Below are 17,650 nucleotides of genomic sequence, written 5' to 3'. Positions count from 1 at the left end.
TCTGCCTCAGCCTCTTGAGTAGCTGGGATTACAGGCATGCGCCACCACACCCTGTTAATTTTTGTATTTTTAGTAGAAAGCGTTTCACCATGTTGGCCAGGGTGGTCTTGAACTCCTGACCTCAGGCGATCTGCTCGCCTCGGCCTCCCAAATTGCTGGGACTACAGGCGTGAGCCACAGCACTCAGCCAGATTACCGATGTTTTTAGTGGCAGATGACTTTCCGGCCTTGTCTTAGTTTTAATTTTTTTTTTTGAGATGGGGTCTTACTATATTGTCCAGGGTGGTCGTGAACTTCTGAGTTCAAGTGATCCTCCCACCTCAGCCTCCCAAAGTGCTGGGACTACAGGCGTGAGCCACTGTGCTCGGCCAGATTACTGATGTTTATAATGGCAGATGACTTTCCAGCCTTGTCTTAGTTTTATTTTTATTTTTGGAGATGGGGTCTCACTATATTGCCCAGGCTGGTCTTGAACTCCTAAGCTCAAGTGATCCTCCCACCTCAGCCTCCCAAAGTGCTGGGATTACAGGCATGACCCACTGTGACTGGCTTAGTTTTAAATTCTTAATTATTTACCTTGTAAACTACTTAATTCCATTTCTTCCACATCTCATAGAAAAACTGATGTTCCAGGAAGATGTATCACCAATATTCTGCTGTTTTGTATCCTGCCAGTGCAGAATTGGGGCTGTGCCTCTCTAGTTTGAGAAGCATGTAGTAACATACTTGATTTTGCCCTGATCAGTAACGTACCGCATGCTGGGAGCCGCAGTCTCTTAACCGCTCCAAGCCCGTGACAGAAAAACGAAATGGAAAAATGACTTAGGAGAATTATCACTATTAACCCCCAGAAACAACACATTATTAAAAGCGGTTCTGAAGGGCTATTTAAAAGGGAACTCAATAGTAGTTTCAAAGGAGTCCTATTGTAAGGCAAAAATTGTGCTTTACCTTCCCGCACAACCTTCCCTAATGTTTTGGGAAGGACTGATACAAACTTTTAGTCCTGTTGGCCTGTGTTAATAATGGCCAAGAGGTCCCCAATGGGTAACAGAGTCCTGTGAACCAAACAGTGTGAGAAGTCAGAAAGCAGCTGGGTGTGGCCCCCAAAGCAGCTTAGGGGGTTACTTAACTGTGCGGCTACATTTCTTGACCATATACTAAAGGAACTGGGCCTTTCCATGCGATGTTTTCCTTTTATAACGGTGGCAGGAAGCGGTCCCTCTGAGGGGCCTGACCGAGGTATGCGCCGGCGCCAGGCTGGGGTCCAAGGGGCGCTCCGAGGCGGGGCCCACAGAGAGGGTTTAGGGCAATTCCAAGGGATGGCGGGGACGGAGGAAAAGTGGCGTTGAAAAGGCAAGAGCCAGGTTCCCAGCCACTGGGACAGTGAATTTACAGCTTCAGACATCCACCAAAGAGCGGCTGCGTGGGCTCCTAAGAAGTCTAAGAACTGCTCAGAAATCCAGCGCCGCCATCCCCACTCCACCGCCGCCAGGGGCGCACAGCAGCGGGTATGCGGCCGGAGGGAAGGGGCGGGGCGGGAGGAAGGGGCGGGGCGTGCCCCGCCAGCGGAGGCCGGGAGGACCAGGAACCCAGGAGAGCATGGCCACGCTGCGCCGGCTTCGGGAGGCGCCGCGGCACTTACTGGTTTGCGAGAAATCCAACTTCGGCAACCACAAGTCGCGCCACCGGCATCTTGTGCAGACGCACTACTATAACTACAGGGTGAGTCCGGCTGTCCTCGGCTTTTCGGGCCGTGCTCAGTCCCCGCGTGCGAGAGAGGTTTGGGGAGAGTGCTAGGCTTCGCGGGGCGGGGCCGCCGGCGGTACGCGGAGGGGCGGGGCCCTCGCCCGGCTTGCTGGGAGTTGTAGTCTCTTAACTGCTCTAAGCCAGTGGCTTGCAGGGCTACAGGACTACAACTCCCAGGATGCGCCGGGCGTGGGGGCGGTACCCAGTCTGGAGGGAGCTGTTGTCAGGGGCGTTCTGGCTGCTCACTCGTGTCAACCCGCCGAACTGGGAGTGAGTCCAGGGAGGGATTCGAGGTTCAGGGCCGGGACCAGGGAGTTAGGCTGTGGGGCAGCCACGTGCACCTCGCTTTTTCCCCAAATCAGGGCGGGTCTCGCGCCTCCTCCCCACCACTGCCTCCTCCCCAGCTTGAATCCCTCTCCCACCTGCGTACCTGTGGATCTCACCAGAGCATCCTGCCTAGGCTCGGCCCAGGAAGCGACTGATTTTCCTTTTTTTTTTTTTTTTTTTTTTAGACGGAGTTTCGCTCTGTCGCCCAGGCTGGAGTGCAGTGGCGCGATCTCGGCTCACTGCAGGCTCCGCCTCCCGGGTTCACGCCATTCTCCTGCCTCAGCCTCCCGTGTAGCTGGGTCTACAGGCGCGCGCCACCACGCCCGGCTAATTTTTGTATTTTTAGTAGAGACGAGGTTTCACCGTGTTAGCCAGGATGGTCTCGATCTCCTGACCTCGTGATCCGCCCGTCTCGGCCTCCCAAAGTGCTGGGATTACAGGCGTGAGCCACCGCGCCCGGCCGAAGCGACTGATTTTCTAAATTGGTTGTTGGAACTAATTTGATATCTGAGAGACTTCAAGAAACTAACCTTATCATGGGGGATTAAACATTTTACACTTTAAATGGATCAGCTTAATAACTCAGGTTTGACTGAGCAGTGTTTCAGAGATGTTAAGTGGTGACCTGATCAGTCAGAACAGGCTGGTGTTTGAGCCTTGGGACAGTGATGACTTTTACAATGTGGCAACATTTGAAGCCTGCCCTGTTTTTAACACCTATTTTGGATGTCAAGCTCATCACAGCAGTCAGGGATGTATACTTTAACTCGCCTGTTGCATTTTTCTGTCTCGAAAATGAAAACATACAGGAGCACCATTGCTTGCACATAGATTCTTAGTAATTGGATGTCCATAAATTAATTCCTTATGCCCCGACAGATAGTTTGTTTCATTCCAGGATAACACCAGGGTAAACAAATCAAGGGATATTCAATTATACTATATTTCCTTGAAAATAAAATAGTGAAAGGAACAGGACATAAAATATACAGCATTGCTAATTTGCAAAAGATTAAATGCAAGCACGAGTTTTCCATTAAAAGTATTCTGTTCAATCCCCTTCCTGTACTGTACGTTTGAATGCAGAAATGAAAAACTTAAGTAGTCAGATTTCTCTTTGCCTGAGATAGGTAAGTTAACATAAGAGTTTTGTTGCCCGTGTTTTTATGTTCCAGTGAAACTCGTGGAGAAATAACAACTTTCATGATTTTGTTTCATTCCTAAAAACCTGGGTGTTCATCTTCATGGAAGTAAGACCTTGTTTGTATTACACATTCCAATAGGTTTCATTTCTCATTCCTGAATGTGGGATACTATCGGAAGAACTGAAAAACCTGGTCATGAACACTGGACCCTATTACTTTGTGAAGAATTTACCTCTTCATGAATTAATTACACCTGAATTCATCAGTACCTTTATAAAGAAAGGTAAGAAAAACCTGAAATGGCTGTGAACAAGGCTGGATGAGGAAGGGTAGGGAGACCACATCACGATGCTAGGGCTGTTGTTTTGTTTCAAACAGGGCCTGTGGTATAGTCTGTGTGGTCAGGTGCACACGCGTTCTCCCCCGCATTCTCATCCTGTTCTTTCTTGTACCCTCTTTAGGTGGTGGTTTCTGATTGCAATTGGCCACAAGTGTTGGATGGGGATGTTGTAACATGACAGTATCCGTCCCCTTAAAATGAGGATTAATGGAGAGGAGAGACTTGCAGTCTGTGTTCAGATGCACTGCTGTTGAAGATGTGGCTGCAAAGACACTATGCTGTCAGCAGTCCCACAGCAGCTGTCTCAGAGGGTTGGTCTCCCGATACAGCCACAGCTACTGTTCACAGAGCAAAGTGCTTGTTGGGGTCCAGTGTCTTCTGCTTAGATTTTGTAGCCATAACCCCTCCTCTACTCACCCCATTTCCACCCATATCTGCTGGGTTGGACTGGTTTGTTTCAGTTGATTCCTGGGAGCCATTTGTTTGAAACTATTTCAGAGGGCCTTTAGGGATTCCACCCACACTACATAACTCACCTGTACAGTGGCCACATGCTTATCTTGTGGTAGCCCCCATGTGTGTCCTCTCCAGTGAAGATATGAAGAACTCTAGTTACCAGTAGCTCCTCTCATTCTGACACTGCTGGGGCGACTTATGAGCTGGGCATCTTGTCTGGTCTCATCACCGTTATTCCTTTCATCTATTTCAAGGCCTGACACCACTCTGTGAATTACGTGGACAATGGCTGTAGCAGGCACTGTTAAATGTCTTACCAAATTTAACCCTTGCAACAACTTTATGAAGCAAGCCTATGATCCTCATTTAACAGTGAGGAAACTGAGGCTTGGAGAGGTTGGGTAGCTTTTGAATCTTAACCTGGAACTCTGTCTCTGAGAGGTGTATGTTTATCTAGAATTCTACTTTGGACCCCTCTCCGCGCATCCCCAAAGGTCACGTTCCGTTCTGAGTCAGTTTTTTGCTTGATGATAGTAAACTTGCACAAATAGGCTGTTGGTCAGGGAGTGAACTAGCTGGAGCTTGGTCTTCTGCAAGCTTGGTCTTCTGCATGCTTGGTCTTCTGCATGCTTGGTCTTCTGCATGCTTGTTCTTCTGCATGCTTGGTCTTCTGCATGCTTGGTCTTCTGCATGCTTGGTCTTCTGCAAGCTTTGTCTTCTGCATGCTTGGTCTTCTGCATGCTTGGTCTTCTGCATGCTTGGTCTTCTGCATGCTTGGTCTTCTGCATGCTGCAGCTTACCCTTAGCAGATGTTTGGTTTATTGAGTGAGCTGGAGCAGGGGTAGAAACTGACCTTTAATGACCCGGAAGACTGGTTATCTTGTAAAAATAATCCACTAACATCTTGCAGGTGTAATTTCTTGTTTTAAATTTTTCCTCTGTACTTTCTCTTCCAGGTTCTTGCTATGCACTAACATACAATACACATATTGATGAAGATAATACTGTTGCCCTGCTACCAAATGGTAACACTTTATTTTTTCATCTTTCTTTAATTGTTAAAAAAAAATGCATACTGTAAAAAAAAAAAAAAAAAAGTCAGCTGGGCACGGTGGCTCACGCCTGTAATCCCTGCACTTTGGGAGGCCAAAGCAGGTGTATCACCTGAGGTCAGGAGTTCGAGACCAGCCTGGCCAACATGGTGAAACCCTGCCTCTACTAAAAATACAAAAATTAGCCGGCGTGGTGGCTCATGCCTGTAGTCCCAGCTCCTTGGGAGGCTGAGGCAGGAGAATCGCTTTGAACCTGGGAGGCGGAGGTTGCAGTGAGCCAAGATTGCGCCACTGCGCTCCAGCCTGGGAGACAGAATGAGATTGTCTGAAAAAAAAAAAGAAGATATTCAAAAGAATGAGTATACCATGACTTATTTATTTCATCTTTAGTAGAAATTCAGATTATTTTAAATTTCACTATTATAAATAATATCCTTGGATGTATAATGTATAAATAATATCTGTTACAAGACATGTATACACATAAATAATATTCTTGTGATATAAATAAGATCCTTGTATGCAGTTTGTTACATTGATATCTAACTGCTCAATTTGCCTTGCTTTCTTTTAGTCAGACAACGTAAGTTCTAGTTTTGGTATCTTATGGGAGTTATTATTTGATTTATAGGGAAATTAATTTTGTCACTGGATAAAGACACTTATGAAGAAACTGGACTTCAGGGTCATCCATCTCAGTTTTCTGGCAGAAAAATTATGAAATTTAGTAAGTATCATGTGTGTTCCATCTGTTTCTAATCTTCTTGTGGCAATTTAAATTTAAATGTTTGAATTGCCTCTAATCTCTTTGTTCAAAAAAATGTGGCCTTTTAAAAAAAATCTGTCAAACTTCTGACTCGAGCTTCACAGAGGATAGGATGATGCTTTTAAGTTCATTTCTTTTCAGCTGTAGATGCATTTAATAAAGATTGTAGACTTGGACTGGTCAATTAAATATATATGTTTCGGGTTAAACCTTGGCAGGCCAAGGCGGGCGGATCATGAGGTCAAGAGATTGAGACCATTGTGACCAACATGGCGAAACCCCATCTCTGCTAAAAATGCAAAAATTAGCTGGGCGTGGTGGCGCATGCCTGTAGTCCCAGCTACTCAGGAGGCTGAGGCAGGAGAATTGCTTGAACCCGGGAGGGGGAGTTTGCAGTGAGCCAAGATCGCACCACTGCACTTCAGCCTGGCGACAGAGTGAGAGTCCATCTCAAAAAAAAAAAAAAAAAAAAAAAAAATTCCAAGTACTGAACCCAAGATAGGAGTCTACAACTTATTCTTAATAAAGAATTTCCTTTGGTTTCCCCAAGTCTTTATGATTACTAGTAGAAATTCACCCATGAGTGAAGAGATGTTTTGCTGACAGCGTCTGGCTCGAACATCAATAGCTAAGGCCGCCACATCCATAAGTAGATTAAACCTGACCTCTCAAGGTCCTCTGCCCTTGGTCTTTGACCTAGGAAACATATAAATTGAAAATGTCTGTTTTTATTAGCTCTCAAGGTTAGAAGTGCCCACCAAAGGGATCTTATTTATTTGGCAAACCAAAGGGAGTGGAAGAAGAATAAAATAATTTTACTATCCATAAAATTTCCCAAAATTCTAGTTTTTAAAAATGTAACACTTTTTCCATGGTAGAAGCTGTACGTATATGAATGAAATATATGTTCTTTTTTTCATTTTTAAAGTTGTTTCCATTGATTTGATGGAATTATCCTTAAACTTGGATTCTAAGAAGTATGAAAGAATATCTTGGTCTTTCAAAGAAAAGAAGCCATTGAAATTTGATTTTCTTTTGGCTTGGCATAAAACAGGTATGAGGAATAAATTATGTAATGATACAGTGATTTTGAAAGTAATTGTTAATTAAAGAGGAGTAATGGAGGATTGAATGGTGATTCACTCTTTAGTCAAGGAATATTCTATACGTATATATAAAAATATTATTAAGGAAACTAGCCCTTCTGACATCTCTGAAAACCATAGTTCAGGATCATGTAGGCACGCAGGCCTTTCTGCCTGCGTCTCTTTGGGTTATATGTAGATCCAGAGATCTTGAGAGTGGCTTCAGAGCAGCTAAATTTTATCTATTTCTCCCCTTTCCTCTCTCCAGCTTACCTTGAACAGCCTTGACTATAATATTTTTAAGTAGCACCAATTATATACACAATCTGCTTATTTATTATCACAGGGTACTGACTCAGGCCTACCATTAAATGTCAGATGAATTTATTCTAACTTTTAATTGATTAGGACACTAAATTTAGTTCAAAGTTTGCTATTCACCACACAGCGTAATCTGCCTAAAACGGCCATGTATGTTGCTCCTTTTAGAAGTGTATCTTTGACCCAGATAATAATGGATCAAGTCATCAGGAATTATGGTGTAGTACTCTCTTTTGGAGGATAGGAAGCATGGTGGTCTGTTTTAGAAATAGCCCCATCTGTCTGCTCCTCATGGGAAGTGTCTCGTCACTGGGTGCTCCAAGTTGCTCCCATGAGTCCTAGGTCTGGCCTTCGGTGCCTCTCCTTCCATATATGGTAGATAGAAAAGAGGGCAGAAAGGCTTATTGAAGTTTCAGTTGCGTGAAGTCTTCTATGCAGATCATCCAGACGTTGGATTCTGGATAGCTCCCTATTCCTAAAGCTCCTAACTATTTTAAGGATTTGTCAGGACTGTGAAAGTTCTGAGATTTCCTCATACTTGCAGGCTAACTAGGTAGCCTGCTACAGTCTCAGGGATGCTGGCAGAAGACACATAAGCCCTGGGTCAGAGACACAGGACTTAATTCCTCAGAGGAATGGTAGTAGCCAAAATGTATTAGTCAGGGTTCTCCAGAGAGAAAGGACCAATAGGATGGATGGATGGATGGATGGATGGATGAGAGGAGATTTATTAGGGAAATTGATCATGCAGTTATGGAGGCTGAGGAGTCCCACGACAGGCTGTCTGCAAGTGGGAGACCCAGGGATGCTGGTAGCCTGGCTCAGTCCAAATATGAAGGCCTGAGAATCAGGAAAGAAGATGGTATAATTCTCAGTCCAAGGCCAAAGCCTGACAACCTGTGGATCTGCTGGTGCAAGCCCCAGAGTCCAAAGGCTAGAGAACCTGGAGTTCTGCTGTCCAAGGGCAGGGGAAGAAGGGAGTCCCAGCTCCAAGGGACAGCGAATTCACTGTTCCTCTGACGTTTTGTTCTACCTGGGGCCCTAGCCGGGTAGATGGTGCCACCCACAGTGAGGGCAGATCTTCCCACTCAGTTTACCCACTCACCTGCCAGTCTCCTCCAGAAACACCCTCACAGACACACCTAGAAATAATGCTTTACCAGCCATCTAGATGACCCTTCATCCAGTCAGGTTGACACCTAAAATTAACCATCACACCGAATATCACCATTTGCACCAGTTCACCAAGTCCCATTTCCAGAGTGACACCAAGCGATGCTGGCACATGCAGTAGGTTGCATTACAGGAGAGGAACCTGGAGTTTAAGAACTCCAGTCCTTTGTAAGGGACAGTAAGCCTGCTGATATCTGCCCGGAGAGAGGGAGGGTGACATTATTTCTATTATACTGGACAGTAAGCAAGCCTGCCCTTTGCCGTGGAGGGAGTACTATCTCTGTCTTCCAAGGCCGTTGGCTACACAAACATCCCTGAAAAGATACGCTGGATTTTATTGGGTTTTCAAAGTCAAGCTGGGATGAGGTTCAATCACCATTCAGTTTCTCTTCTTTTTCTTTAATAGAGGTTGTGCAGATAAGCTCCTTCTCTCTGGAGTTCACTAATATTATTCATACATCAGGAATGCTTTTGGTTTTAAGTGTGAAGTTGAAATTTTTTTATTAGCACAAACAGTGAAACTAGTTTGGGTCTGATCAGAAACTGTTGTGCTTTTCCAGGAAAAGTGTGAAAAACGATGAACGTTTACAGAACTTGAGCAAAAGGAGCTGAAAGCAGCTTTAAATGATTTTAATTTGAATGCAGCTCTGCACAGCTTCCATCTTACTCAATCTTACCGCTCAGATGGGAATGGGTGGGTTCAGGTATTCACTAAACTTGCTTACGATGGTCAGATGGATTCAAATGGCCTTGTGTGGTGTGTTTTTAAGGTTCAGAAGAATCGACAATGATGTCATATTTTTCCAAGTACCAAATTCAGGAGCATCAGCCAAAAGTAGCACTGAGCACGTTGAGAGATCTCCAGTGCCCAGTGCTGCAGAGCAGCGAGCTGGAGGGAACGCCAGAGGTGTCCTGCCGGGCTCTGGAGCTCTTCGACTGGCTCGGCGCCGTCTTCAGTAATGTCGACCTGTGGGTATCTGAACTCCCTGTGTCTTCCAGGGCTCTGGCCTGCTGCTTGTTTTTAATAGGAGTTTAATACTTTGGAAGTGATCATGTGATGGATATACATGTGTTATCTCTCTCTCTTTTATTTTTTTGGTGACAGAAATAATGAGCCTAATAATTTCATATCAACCTATTGCTGTCCTGAGCCAAGCACAGTGGTGGCAAAAGCTTATTTGTGTACAATCACTGGCTTCATACTTCCAGAGAAGATCTGTCTCCTATTGGAACATCTCTGGTGAGAACTCTTTACCTTTTATATCGCTCATCAGTGCTCTATAGAACAGTATGTCGAATAGTATAGATTTTTTCATTTTGGGAGGTGGTATATAAATAAAATGTACATTGAAAGGAACTCAAATCGCCTATTGCAAAGACCGTACATTGAGTATAATCCTATTTAGTAAGCATATCTTCTCAGTCTTCCCTTTTGAAATGTCAGATTTAAGTCTTGAAGGTTTTCCTTTTTAAGCCCAACATCCTTTTTCACATTTATTGGTTTAGTACTTTGACTTTCTTCGATAGGAAGGCTGGATATGAAAAATCTGGTGAATTATCCTGCAACGTTTCAGTTAACTGAGACTCTGAGAACAGTACTCTTAATAGGAGGGAAAGGATCCTTAAACGCCTGTGGGGTTTTTTGTTTTGGGTTCTTTTTGTCTTAAAGACCTCCCAGAATGAGGGTGGGAACAGCTGAGGTTTGTTTCATGTGTTGTATATTAGTTAATCCTTATGGAGTTCACAGTGTGACATCAGGAACTTATCACACACCTCTTGATTTTCAAAAATTAAAGCTAAGATCTAAGCTTTATTAGAATATCAGAAATACTACTTATCCTGAATAAATTTTTTAAAATGCAGACATTCCTAACTCTCTTTTAAAACTCTGTTTAACAACTACCTTTTTTTCAGTCACTACTTTGATGAACCGAAGTTAGCTCCATGGGTTACACTGTCCGTTCAAGGCTTTGCAGACAGCCCTGTTTCTTGGGAAAAAAATGAACATGGTTTTCGAAAAGGAGGAGAACATTTATATAACTTTGTGATTTTTAATAATCAGGACTATTGGCTTCAGATGGCTGTTGGGGCAAATGATCACTGTCCACCATAAAAAATAAAAATTAAAAATCGTGTTTACTTACATTTACGCTTGCTTTCAGATTTCTTAATGGTAAAAGGTCTGTGTGTCCACTCAGGCTTGTGTGATGGTGACATTTCTCAGATCAGCATTTGCTGGCATCCTGCCCTGCACCTGAGACCCATCTGTGATGGCAGCAAGGCCTGCTGTCCAGTGAATAGCTCATAGTTGATTTCTCTCTGTCAACATAAGCACAGGGTTGTGGGTTACTATGTGGTACACTGGGCCAGGATGTCCAGGGACCGGGGATATTGGTCCCCATCTCACTCCATTGGTTGAGATATATTTTGTTCATTACAACTTTTTCAGATAATAAAAAGAAATCTCATCCTTACCAGGGCCAGTCCCTGTTGTAAGTGCTGTTTATATATTACCATGTTAGAATCTCACACCAACCCTTTGAGGAAACTGAGGCACAGTGTGTAAATACACTACCGAAGTTATAGTGGCAGTGGACCTGAGACTTGATCTCAGGCCAGCCTAGTTCCTAAGTGTGTTCTCACGCTAATGCCTCTGGATCAGAGAGGGATCAATGGATACTGTAAATCGTTACAGAACAGGTTGAAAGAATTTTATTTCCAGCAGTAAGGCTGATAAGGACCAGTTGAAAACAACTAAAACTTTAGAATACATATGAAGAACCATTTTTTTTTTATTATACTTTAAGTTTTAGGGTACATGTGCACAACGTGCAGGTTAGTTACATATGTATACATGTGCCATGTTGGTGTGCTGCATCCATTAACTCATCATTTAACATTAGGTATATCTCCTAATGCTCTCCCTCCCCCCTCCCCCCACCCCACAACAGGCCCCGGTGTGTGATGTTCCCCTTCCTGTGTCCATGTGTTCTCATTGTTCAATTCCCACCTATGAGTGAAAACATGCGGTGTTTGGTTTTTTGTCTGAAGAACCATTTTTTTAATGTAAAAAACAAGAGCTGCAAAATAAGAGTTCTTAAAGGGAAAAAAAAATTTTTTTTTTTGTAAATGGAAGCAGAAACCCAAAGAAGTAAGTGGAGTACTGACGCCACTTTTCCGCCTTAGTGCATCTGCCAAATGCCAAATTGAAGTTTTCTTCTCATAGCCTGGGGTGGGAAGGGGCTGCAGAACAGCACACAAAGCTCAGGGCCTGCCCAAGGGAGGAAAACTAACAGGAGACCTCATAAAGTGAGACTCCAAAAGGATAGATGCAATGTAGGGGTAAACTAGGAATAAATCCATCTGCTTCACCCATCCCCCCAACCCCTGTGAACAGCAAGGAAGATTTCTGTCCTGGGGGAAAACATCTTACTTGAGAGCCTATATATAACCACAGGATTTATATATAACAGCAGTTTTTAGGGTGGCTTGTTTGCACCACCTGGATAGTCTTAAAAAATCTCAAGAGGGAAATTTCAAGTGATAACAGGATTTTACTGCCTTACAGGTAACTGGCAGAAGCAAAACAGATTGTCTTTGGAGGAACTCGGAGAGTTTCAAGGAATGTAAGTTCATAGAAAAAAATCACAAGTGTAAAATAGACAAGAACCAGCAGAAACAAGGGGCAGAAGCAGGCCGTTAAGTCTCAGAAAGACTTAAGATGTTAAAGTTAGCAAGCACATCCATAAAGTATGCTTTATGCTTACAGAAATAAGGAGGGTTAAATGGCATGAGTATAAGAACAACGAAGCAGATTGTAAAAAGTGCCAAACAAATCTAGGAATGAAAAATATAATTGAAATTGCAAATTCCACTGGTTGGTTTAACAGCAGACTAGACGCCACTGAAAATAGAATAATGGATATGAAGAAATTAAGATCTTTTCAAATTTGCAAAAGCTGAAAGACTGTCACCCACAGGTCTGCACTGCAAGAAAAGTTAAAGGATGTCCTTTGGGCAGAAGGAAAATGCCTGCCTTCTGAAGGAAATAAGCACTGGAAATAGTAACAACATGGGTAAATGTAGCATTTATTATTTAAACCTCTTTAAAAGACAGTTATTTAAATAAAAGTCATAGTGTAGGATTTATAATATATGTAAGAGTAAAATGGATGACCACAATAGCTTGAAGATTAGGAGAGGAGAATCATGCTATTGTAAAGTTCTCATACACAAGGTGACGTGCTACCATTTGAAGATAGAGTGTGATAAGTTACAGATATGTGCTGTAAACCCTAAAGCAGCTGCTAAAATGACATACCAAAAAATCATACCTATTAAACTATCAAAAGATAAAATGGAATTATTTTAAAAACTTGATTCATCAAAAAGAAGACAGAAAAAGAGGTAAAAGGGAATAAAGAACAGTTAGGATGAATCGAAGACAAGTAGCAAGATGAGAGACTCAACCTAAGCATATCAATAATCACATTAAATGTGAATAGTGTGAACACCACCAATTAAAAGGCATAGATTTTCAGACTGGATTGAAAAAAACATGACCTAATTATATTCTGCCTACAAGAAATGTACTTTAAATAGAAAGATACAAATACTTAAAGGATGGAAAAAAGATATGCTAACACTAGTTACATGAAAATTGAAGTGGCTATATTAATCAAAATAGAGCAAAAAGTAATTCCCAGCATATTAGTCAATTCTCGCACTGCCATAAAGAAATATCTGAGACTGGGTAGCTTATAAAGAAAAGAGGTTTAATTGGCTCACATTTCTTCTTCTTCTTTTTTTTTTTTTTTTTTTTGAGACAGAGCCTCCCTCTGTTGCCCAGGATGGACTGCAGTGGCGCAATCTCGGCTCACTGCAACCTCCACCTCCTGGGTTCAAATGATTCTCCTGCCTCAGCCTCTTGAGTAGCTGGGATTACAGGCATGCGCCACCATGCCTGGCTAGTTTTTTTTTGTTTCGTTTTTTTGTTTTTGTTTGTTTTTCTTTTTTTAGTAGAAACAGGGTTTCACCTTATTGGCCAGGCTGGTCTCGAACTCCTGACCTCGTGATCTCTCCACCTCAGCCTCCCAAAGTGCTGGGATTACAGGCATGGGCCACCACACCTGGCCTAATTGGCTCACGTTTCTGCAGGCTGTGCAGGAAGCACAGTGGGCATCTGCCTGGCTTCTGGGGAGGCCTCAGGAAAACTCAATCATGGCGGAAGGTGAAAGAGAAGCATGGCCAGAGCAGGAGGGAGGGGTGTGGGAGGTACCACACACTTTTAAACAACCAGATCTTGTGAGAATTCTATCACTAGAAGAGCACTAAATGGGGGAATCCACCCCCATGAGCCAATCACCTCCCACCAGGCCCCAACTCCAACACTGGGGATTACAATTTGACATGAGATTTGGGCAGGGACACAGACCCAAACCGTATCACCCAGGATTAAAGAAAGTTATTTCATACTGACAACACACACCTCATAACAAAGCTTCAAAACACATAAAGCAAGAACAACTAGAACTTCAAGGAGACATAGATCAACCCACTATTATCAGACGTTAATACCCCACCCTCAATAATTGACAGAACAAGTAGGCAGAAAATCAATAAGAATAATAAAGTAGACTTCAGCAATTTTATCAATCAACTTGACCCGATTGACATTTACAGGACATTGCATCTTACAATAGCAGAAAATTTTTCTTGAGAAAATGGAGAAACAACTCAATTTTGTTTCTTGAGAAATAACTTGAGAAAAATTTTTAGCTGTTCAAACAAAAATCATAGTACGGGATTTATAATATATGTAAAAGTAAAGTGGGTTAAGAGTTTTTCGCAAGTACACATGGAACATTTATAGAGATGGACTACATTATAGACCATTTAAAAAGTCTCAAATTCAAAACATTTGTCACATAAAGTATGTTGTCTGGCCACAACGGAATTAAATTAGAAATCAATAGCAGAAACTAGAAAAGAGAAAAACTCAAAGTAAGCAGAAGAAAAGGAATAATAAAGGTCAAAGTGGGACTTAATGAAATTTTTAAAATAGAGAAAAATGAATGAATCAAAATTTGGGGAGTTTGGGGGGGAAATTTTTTTAAATTGAGAAATCTCCAGCCAGGTACATATATCAGGGAAAAAAGAAACAAGACACAAGTTACCAATACTAGGAATGAGAGAGGTGGCATCACTGAAGAGCCTACAGATAGAAAAGGATAGTAAGGAAATATTAGGAACACCTTTATAGCAATAAATTCAACATAGATGAAATTGACAAATCCTTTGAAAGGCACAAATTACCAAAGCTCACCCAAGAAGAAGTAGATGATCTGAATAGCCCTATATCTGTTAAAGAAGTTGAAATTACAGTTTAAAAACATGTAACGAAAATCTAGGGCTAGGCGTGGTGGCTCGCACCTGTATTCCCAGCATGTTGGGAAGTTGAGGTGGGAGGATCACTTGAAGCCAGGAGTTCAAGGACAGACTGGACAACATAGCGAGATTCCAAAAAAAAAAAAAAAAAAATTAGCCAGGCATGGTAGCACATGCCTGTAGTCCTAGCTACTTGAGAGGCTGAGGCAGGATGATTGCTTGAGCCTAGGAATTGAAGGCTGCGGTGAGCAATGATCACACCACTGCACTCCAGCCTGGCTGACAAATCAAGGCCCTGACTCAAAGAAAGGGAGAGAAGGAGAGAGAGAGGAAGAAATATTTTCCACCTCATTATCTGAGGCCAGAATTATCCTAGTGCCAAAATTATCCTAGGACCCTGGCCAAACAAACATGCTACCAGGAAAGAAAACTACAGATCAACATTTCTCATGAACATAGGGTAAAATTCTAAGCCAGTTTATCAAATTGAGTCCTACAAGATAAGAAACAGGTAATAAAACATGATCAAGAGGGAATATCCAAGGAGTGTAGGGTTGACTTAACATTTGAAAAATCAATCAATATAATTCATTGTATAAACAAGCTAAAAAAGAATAATCATATAATCAATCAATACAGAAAGGCATTTGACAAAATCCAGCATTCATTACTGATAATCAAGAAGGTTAGGAATAAACAACACTTCTTCAATCTGATCAAGGGCATCTACAAAAACCCTACAGCTAACATCACACTTAATTGTGAAAGACAATATTCCCCACCTTCCCAACGTCAGGAACAAATCAGGGATGCCTGCTTTTACCGCCTCTGTTCAACATTGTACTGAAGGCTTTAGACTGTGCAATCAGAGAACAAACAGAAATAATGGACATCCAGGTTGGAAAGAAAGAAAGAAAAATGTATTCACAGATGACATGATTATTTATGCAAAATTCAGCGGACTCTACAAATGAGCTACTAGAACAAATAAGTGAGTTTGTCAAGGTTGCAGGATACAGAGTAGTGTACAAAAATCAGTTGTATATGGTAGCAATGAAAAATTGATAATTGAAACAAAAAATCAACATTTGCAATCACATAAACAATACTACCTTTGCAATAGCATAAATACCTGGGATAAGTCTGACCAAAAAAATGAGAAAAATACTGTACACTGAAAACTACAAAATACTGATATGATAAAGAGACCTAAATAGATGATATACCTTGTTCATGGGTCAGAAGACTCAATATTGTGAAGATGTCATGTCATATTCCCAAAATATAGATTCAATATAGATTTAATACAATCACAATCAAAATCCCAGCAGCCTATGTGTGTGTGTGTGTGTGTGTAAAATGACAAACTGATTCTAAAATGTTTGTAGAACTTCAAAGGACCTAGAGTAGCCAAACAACTTCACAAAAGAAGAACCAAGTTAGACGACTAATATTACTAGATTTTTAAGGAGTTATTCTAAAGCAACAGTAATCAAGACAGTGTGGTATTGACATGAAGGATATACCAATAGATCAATGATATAGGATTTGTGTCCAGAATGTAAAGTACTTTCAAAACTCAGCAATAAGAAAACAAACAAACCAAATGGAAAATGAAGGAAAGACATCAACAGACATTTTACCAAAGAGTCCACTTAAACTGCAAATAAATGAGTGAAAAGATGTTCTAACATCATTAACCATTAGGAAAAAGGCAACTTAAAATCATGATATCACTAACTCCTATTAGAATGGTTACAAAGGCAAATTAAAATCATGATATCACTAACTCCTATTAGAATGGTAAAAGATAGTGATAACATCAAATTCTGACAACTATGCTGAAAAACTTTATCTCCCGTATATTACTGGCAGTAATGTATAATTTCACAGCCATTCAGAAAAATACCTCCCAGTTTACTTATAAAAGAAAACATGAAATTACCATATGATCCAGTAATTTCACTCTTGGGCATTTATCCTGGGAAATGAACTTATGTTCACACAAAAACCCATACTCAAATGTTCATAGCAGCTTTATGTGTAATGAGCAAGACCTAGGAAAAAAACAAATGTCCTTCAGTGCGTGAATGGTTAAGCAAATTGTGATCCATGAAATACTGCTTAACAATAAAAAGGAGCAAGTTATTAACACACCCAATAACTTGGAAGGATCTCAAGGGAATTATATGGAGTGAAAAAAAACCCAGACCAAAAAGTTACTATTGTATGATTCCATTTATATAACATCCTTGAAATGAAAAAATTGTAGAAATGGAGACCAGATTAGTGGTTGCCTGAGATTAGGGATGTTGGGGGTGGGGAGGGGTCAGTGTGGCTGTAACAGGGCAATAAAAAGGATCATCATGGTGATGGAACTCTTGTATATCTTGACTGTGGTTGTCAGTACATGGACCTACACATGAAATAAAACTGCATAGAACACACTCCACCGCCGCCTCTGACACACACACTACAACTAAGGAAATGTGAATCAGGTCTGTGGATTGTACCAGTGTCAGTTTCCTAGTTTTGACAATGTGCTACAGTTATATGAGATGTTACTACTGGAGGTATAAAATGTTACACAGGACCTTTCCGTATGATATCCGCCACTTCCTCTGAATGTATAATTGTTTCAAAAGGTAAACACAACTTTAGGAAAGAGAAAAGGTGATAGGAGGAGGGAGGCCCATATAGGTATATGTAAATTGCTGTCCTGACTCAAACTTCCTTGCAGAATGGATGATTCCTGTGGATTTATTACAATATTCAAATAAATAAATGGCCATGCACAGGAACACTGATGAAAATGGGTCAAAATCAATGCAAAATCACAGTGGTTATTC

General features: G+C 41.7%; 1 protein-coding gene and 1 long non-coding RNA gene across 12 annotated transcripts in view, besides 2 other annotated features; one reads left to right on the top strand and one right to left on the bottom strand.

Moving 5' to 3' along the window:
* LYRM4-AS1 (LYRM4 antisense RNA 1) overlaps positions 1–1,789 on the bottom strand; it is a 236,681-nt gene extending 234,892 nt beyond the window's left edge. For all 3 annotated transcript variants that reach the window (NR_126015.1, NR_126016.1, NR_126017.1), the window contains exon 1: positions 1,646–1,789. This is a non-coding gene — a long non-coding RNA (LYRM4 antisense RNA 1). The remainder of the gene's footprint in view (positions 1–1,645) is intronic.
* Positions 1,458–1,587: a silencer, noted in NCBI's record as "silent region_16865". NCBI's record gives its function as "represses an Ori minimal core promoter by ATAC-STARR-seq in GM12878 lymphoblastoid cells {active_cell/tissue: GM12878}" and the evidence as "EXISTENCE:reporter gene assay evidence [ECO:0000049][PMID:35858748]".
* On the top strand, positions 1,568–17,179 carry RPP40 (ribonuclease P/MRP subunit p40). Of its 9 annotated transcripts, XR_926031.3 has the most exons (9): positions 1,568–1,725; positions 3,360–3,504; positions 4,974–5,042; positions 5,701–5,796; positions 6,764–6,889; positions 9,185–9,383; positions 9,520–9,654; positions 11,983–12,040; positions 12,395–17,179. XR_926031.3 is itself a non-coding variant. In XM_011514253.3 (8 exons), exons 1-8 carry the CDS (start codon positions 1,603–1,605, stop codon positions 11,984–11,986), a joined length of 897 nt encoding a protein of 298 aa, XP_011512555.1. In that variant the 5' UTR covers positions 1,568–1,602; the 3' UTR covers positions 11,987–17,179. The 9 variants fall into 9 exon arrangements, 7 of the variants coding, with proteins under 7 accessions (XP_011512555.1, NP_006629.2, XP_047274052.1 ...); XR_007059200.1 differs by lacking the exon at positions 4,974–5,042; XM_011514253.3 differs by having other exon boundaries at positions 11,983–17,179.
* Positions 1,718–1,967: a silencer, noted in NCBI's record as "silent region_16864". NCBI's record gives its function as "represses an Ori minimal core promoter by ATAC-STARR-seq in GM12878 lymphoblastoid cells {active_cell/tissue: GM12878}" and the evidence as "EXISTENCE:reporter gene assay evidence [ECO:0000049][PMID:35858748]".
* Positions 17,180–17,650: the final 471 nt, after the last annotated feature.

This window comes from Homo sapiens, chromosome 6, assembly GCF_000001405.40.
Source record: "Homo sapiens chromosome 6, GRCh38.p14 Primary Assembly".
In the NCBI taxonomy this organism is placed as follows: domain Eukaryota; kingdom Metazoa; phylum Chordata; class Mammalia; order Primates; family Hominidae; genus Homo; species Homo sapiens.
This window is presented reverse-complemented; position numbering and strand designations above follow the sequence as displayed.

Bases quoted from the DNA above. Each gene is read 5' to 3' on its own strand.
- RPP40 (NM_006638.4), top strand. From the start codon at position 1,603: ATGGCCACGCTGCGCCGGCTTCGGGAGGCGCCGCGGCACTTACTGGTT. The intron at 5,043-5,700 runs GTAACACTTTAT...TTTGATTTATAG, and splicing joins TGTTGCCCTGCTACCAAATG to GGAAATTAATTTTGTCACTG. The intron at 6,890-9,184 runs GTATGAGGAATA...TGTGTTTTTAAG, and splicing joins TTTGGCTTGGCATAAAACAG to GTTCAGAAGAATCGACAATG.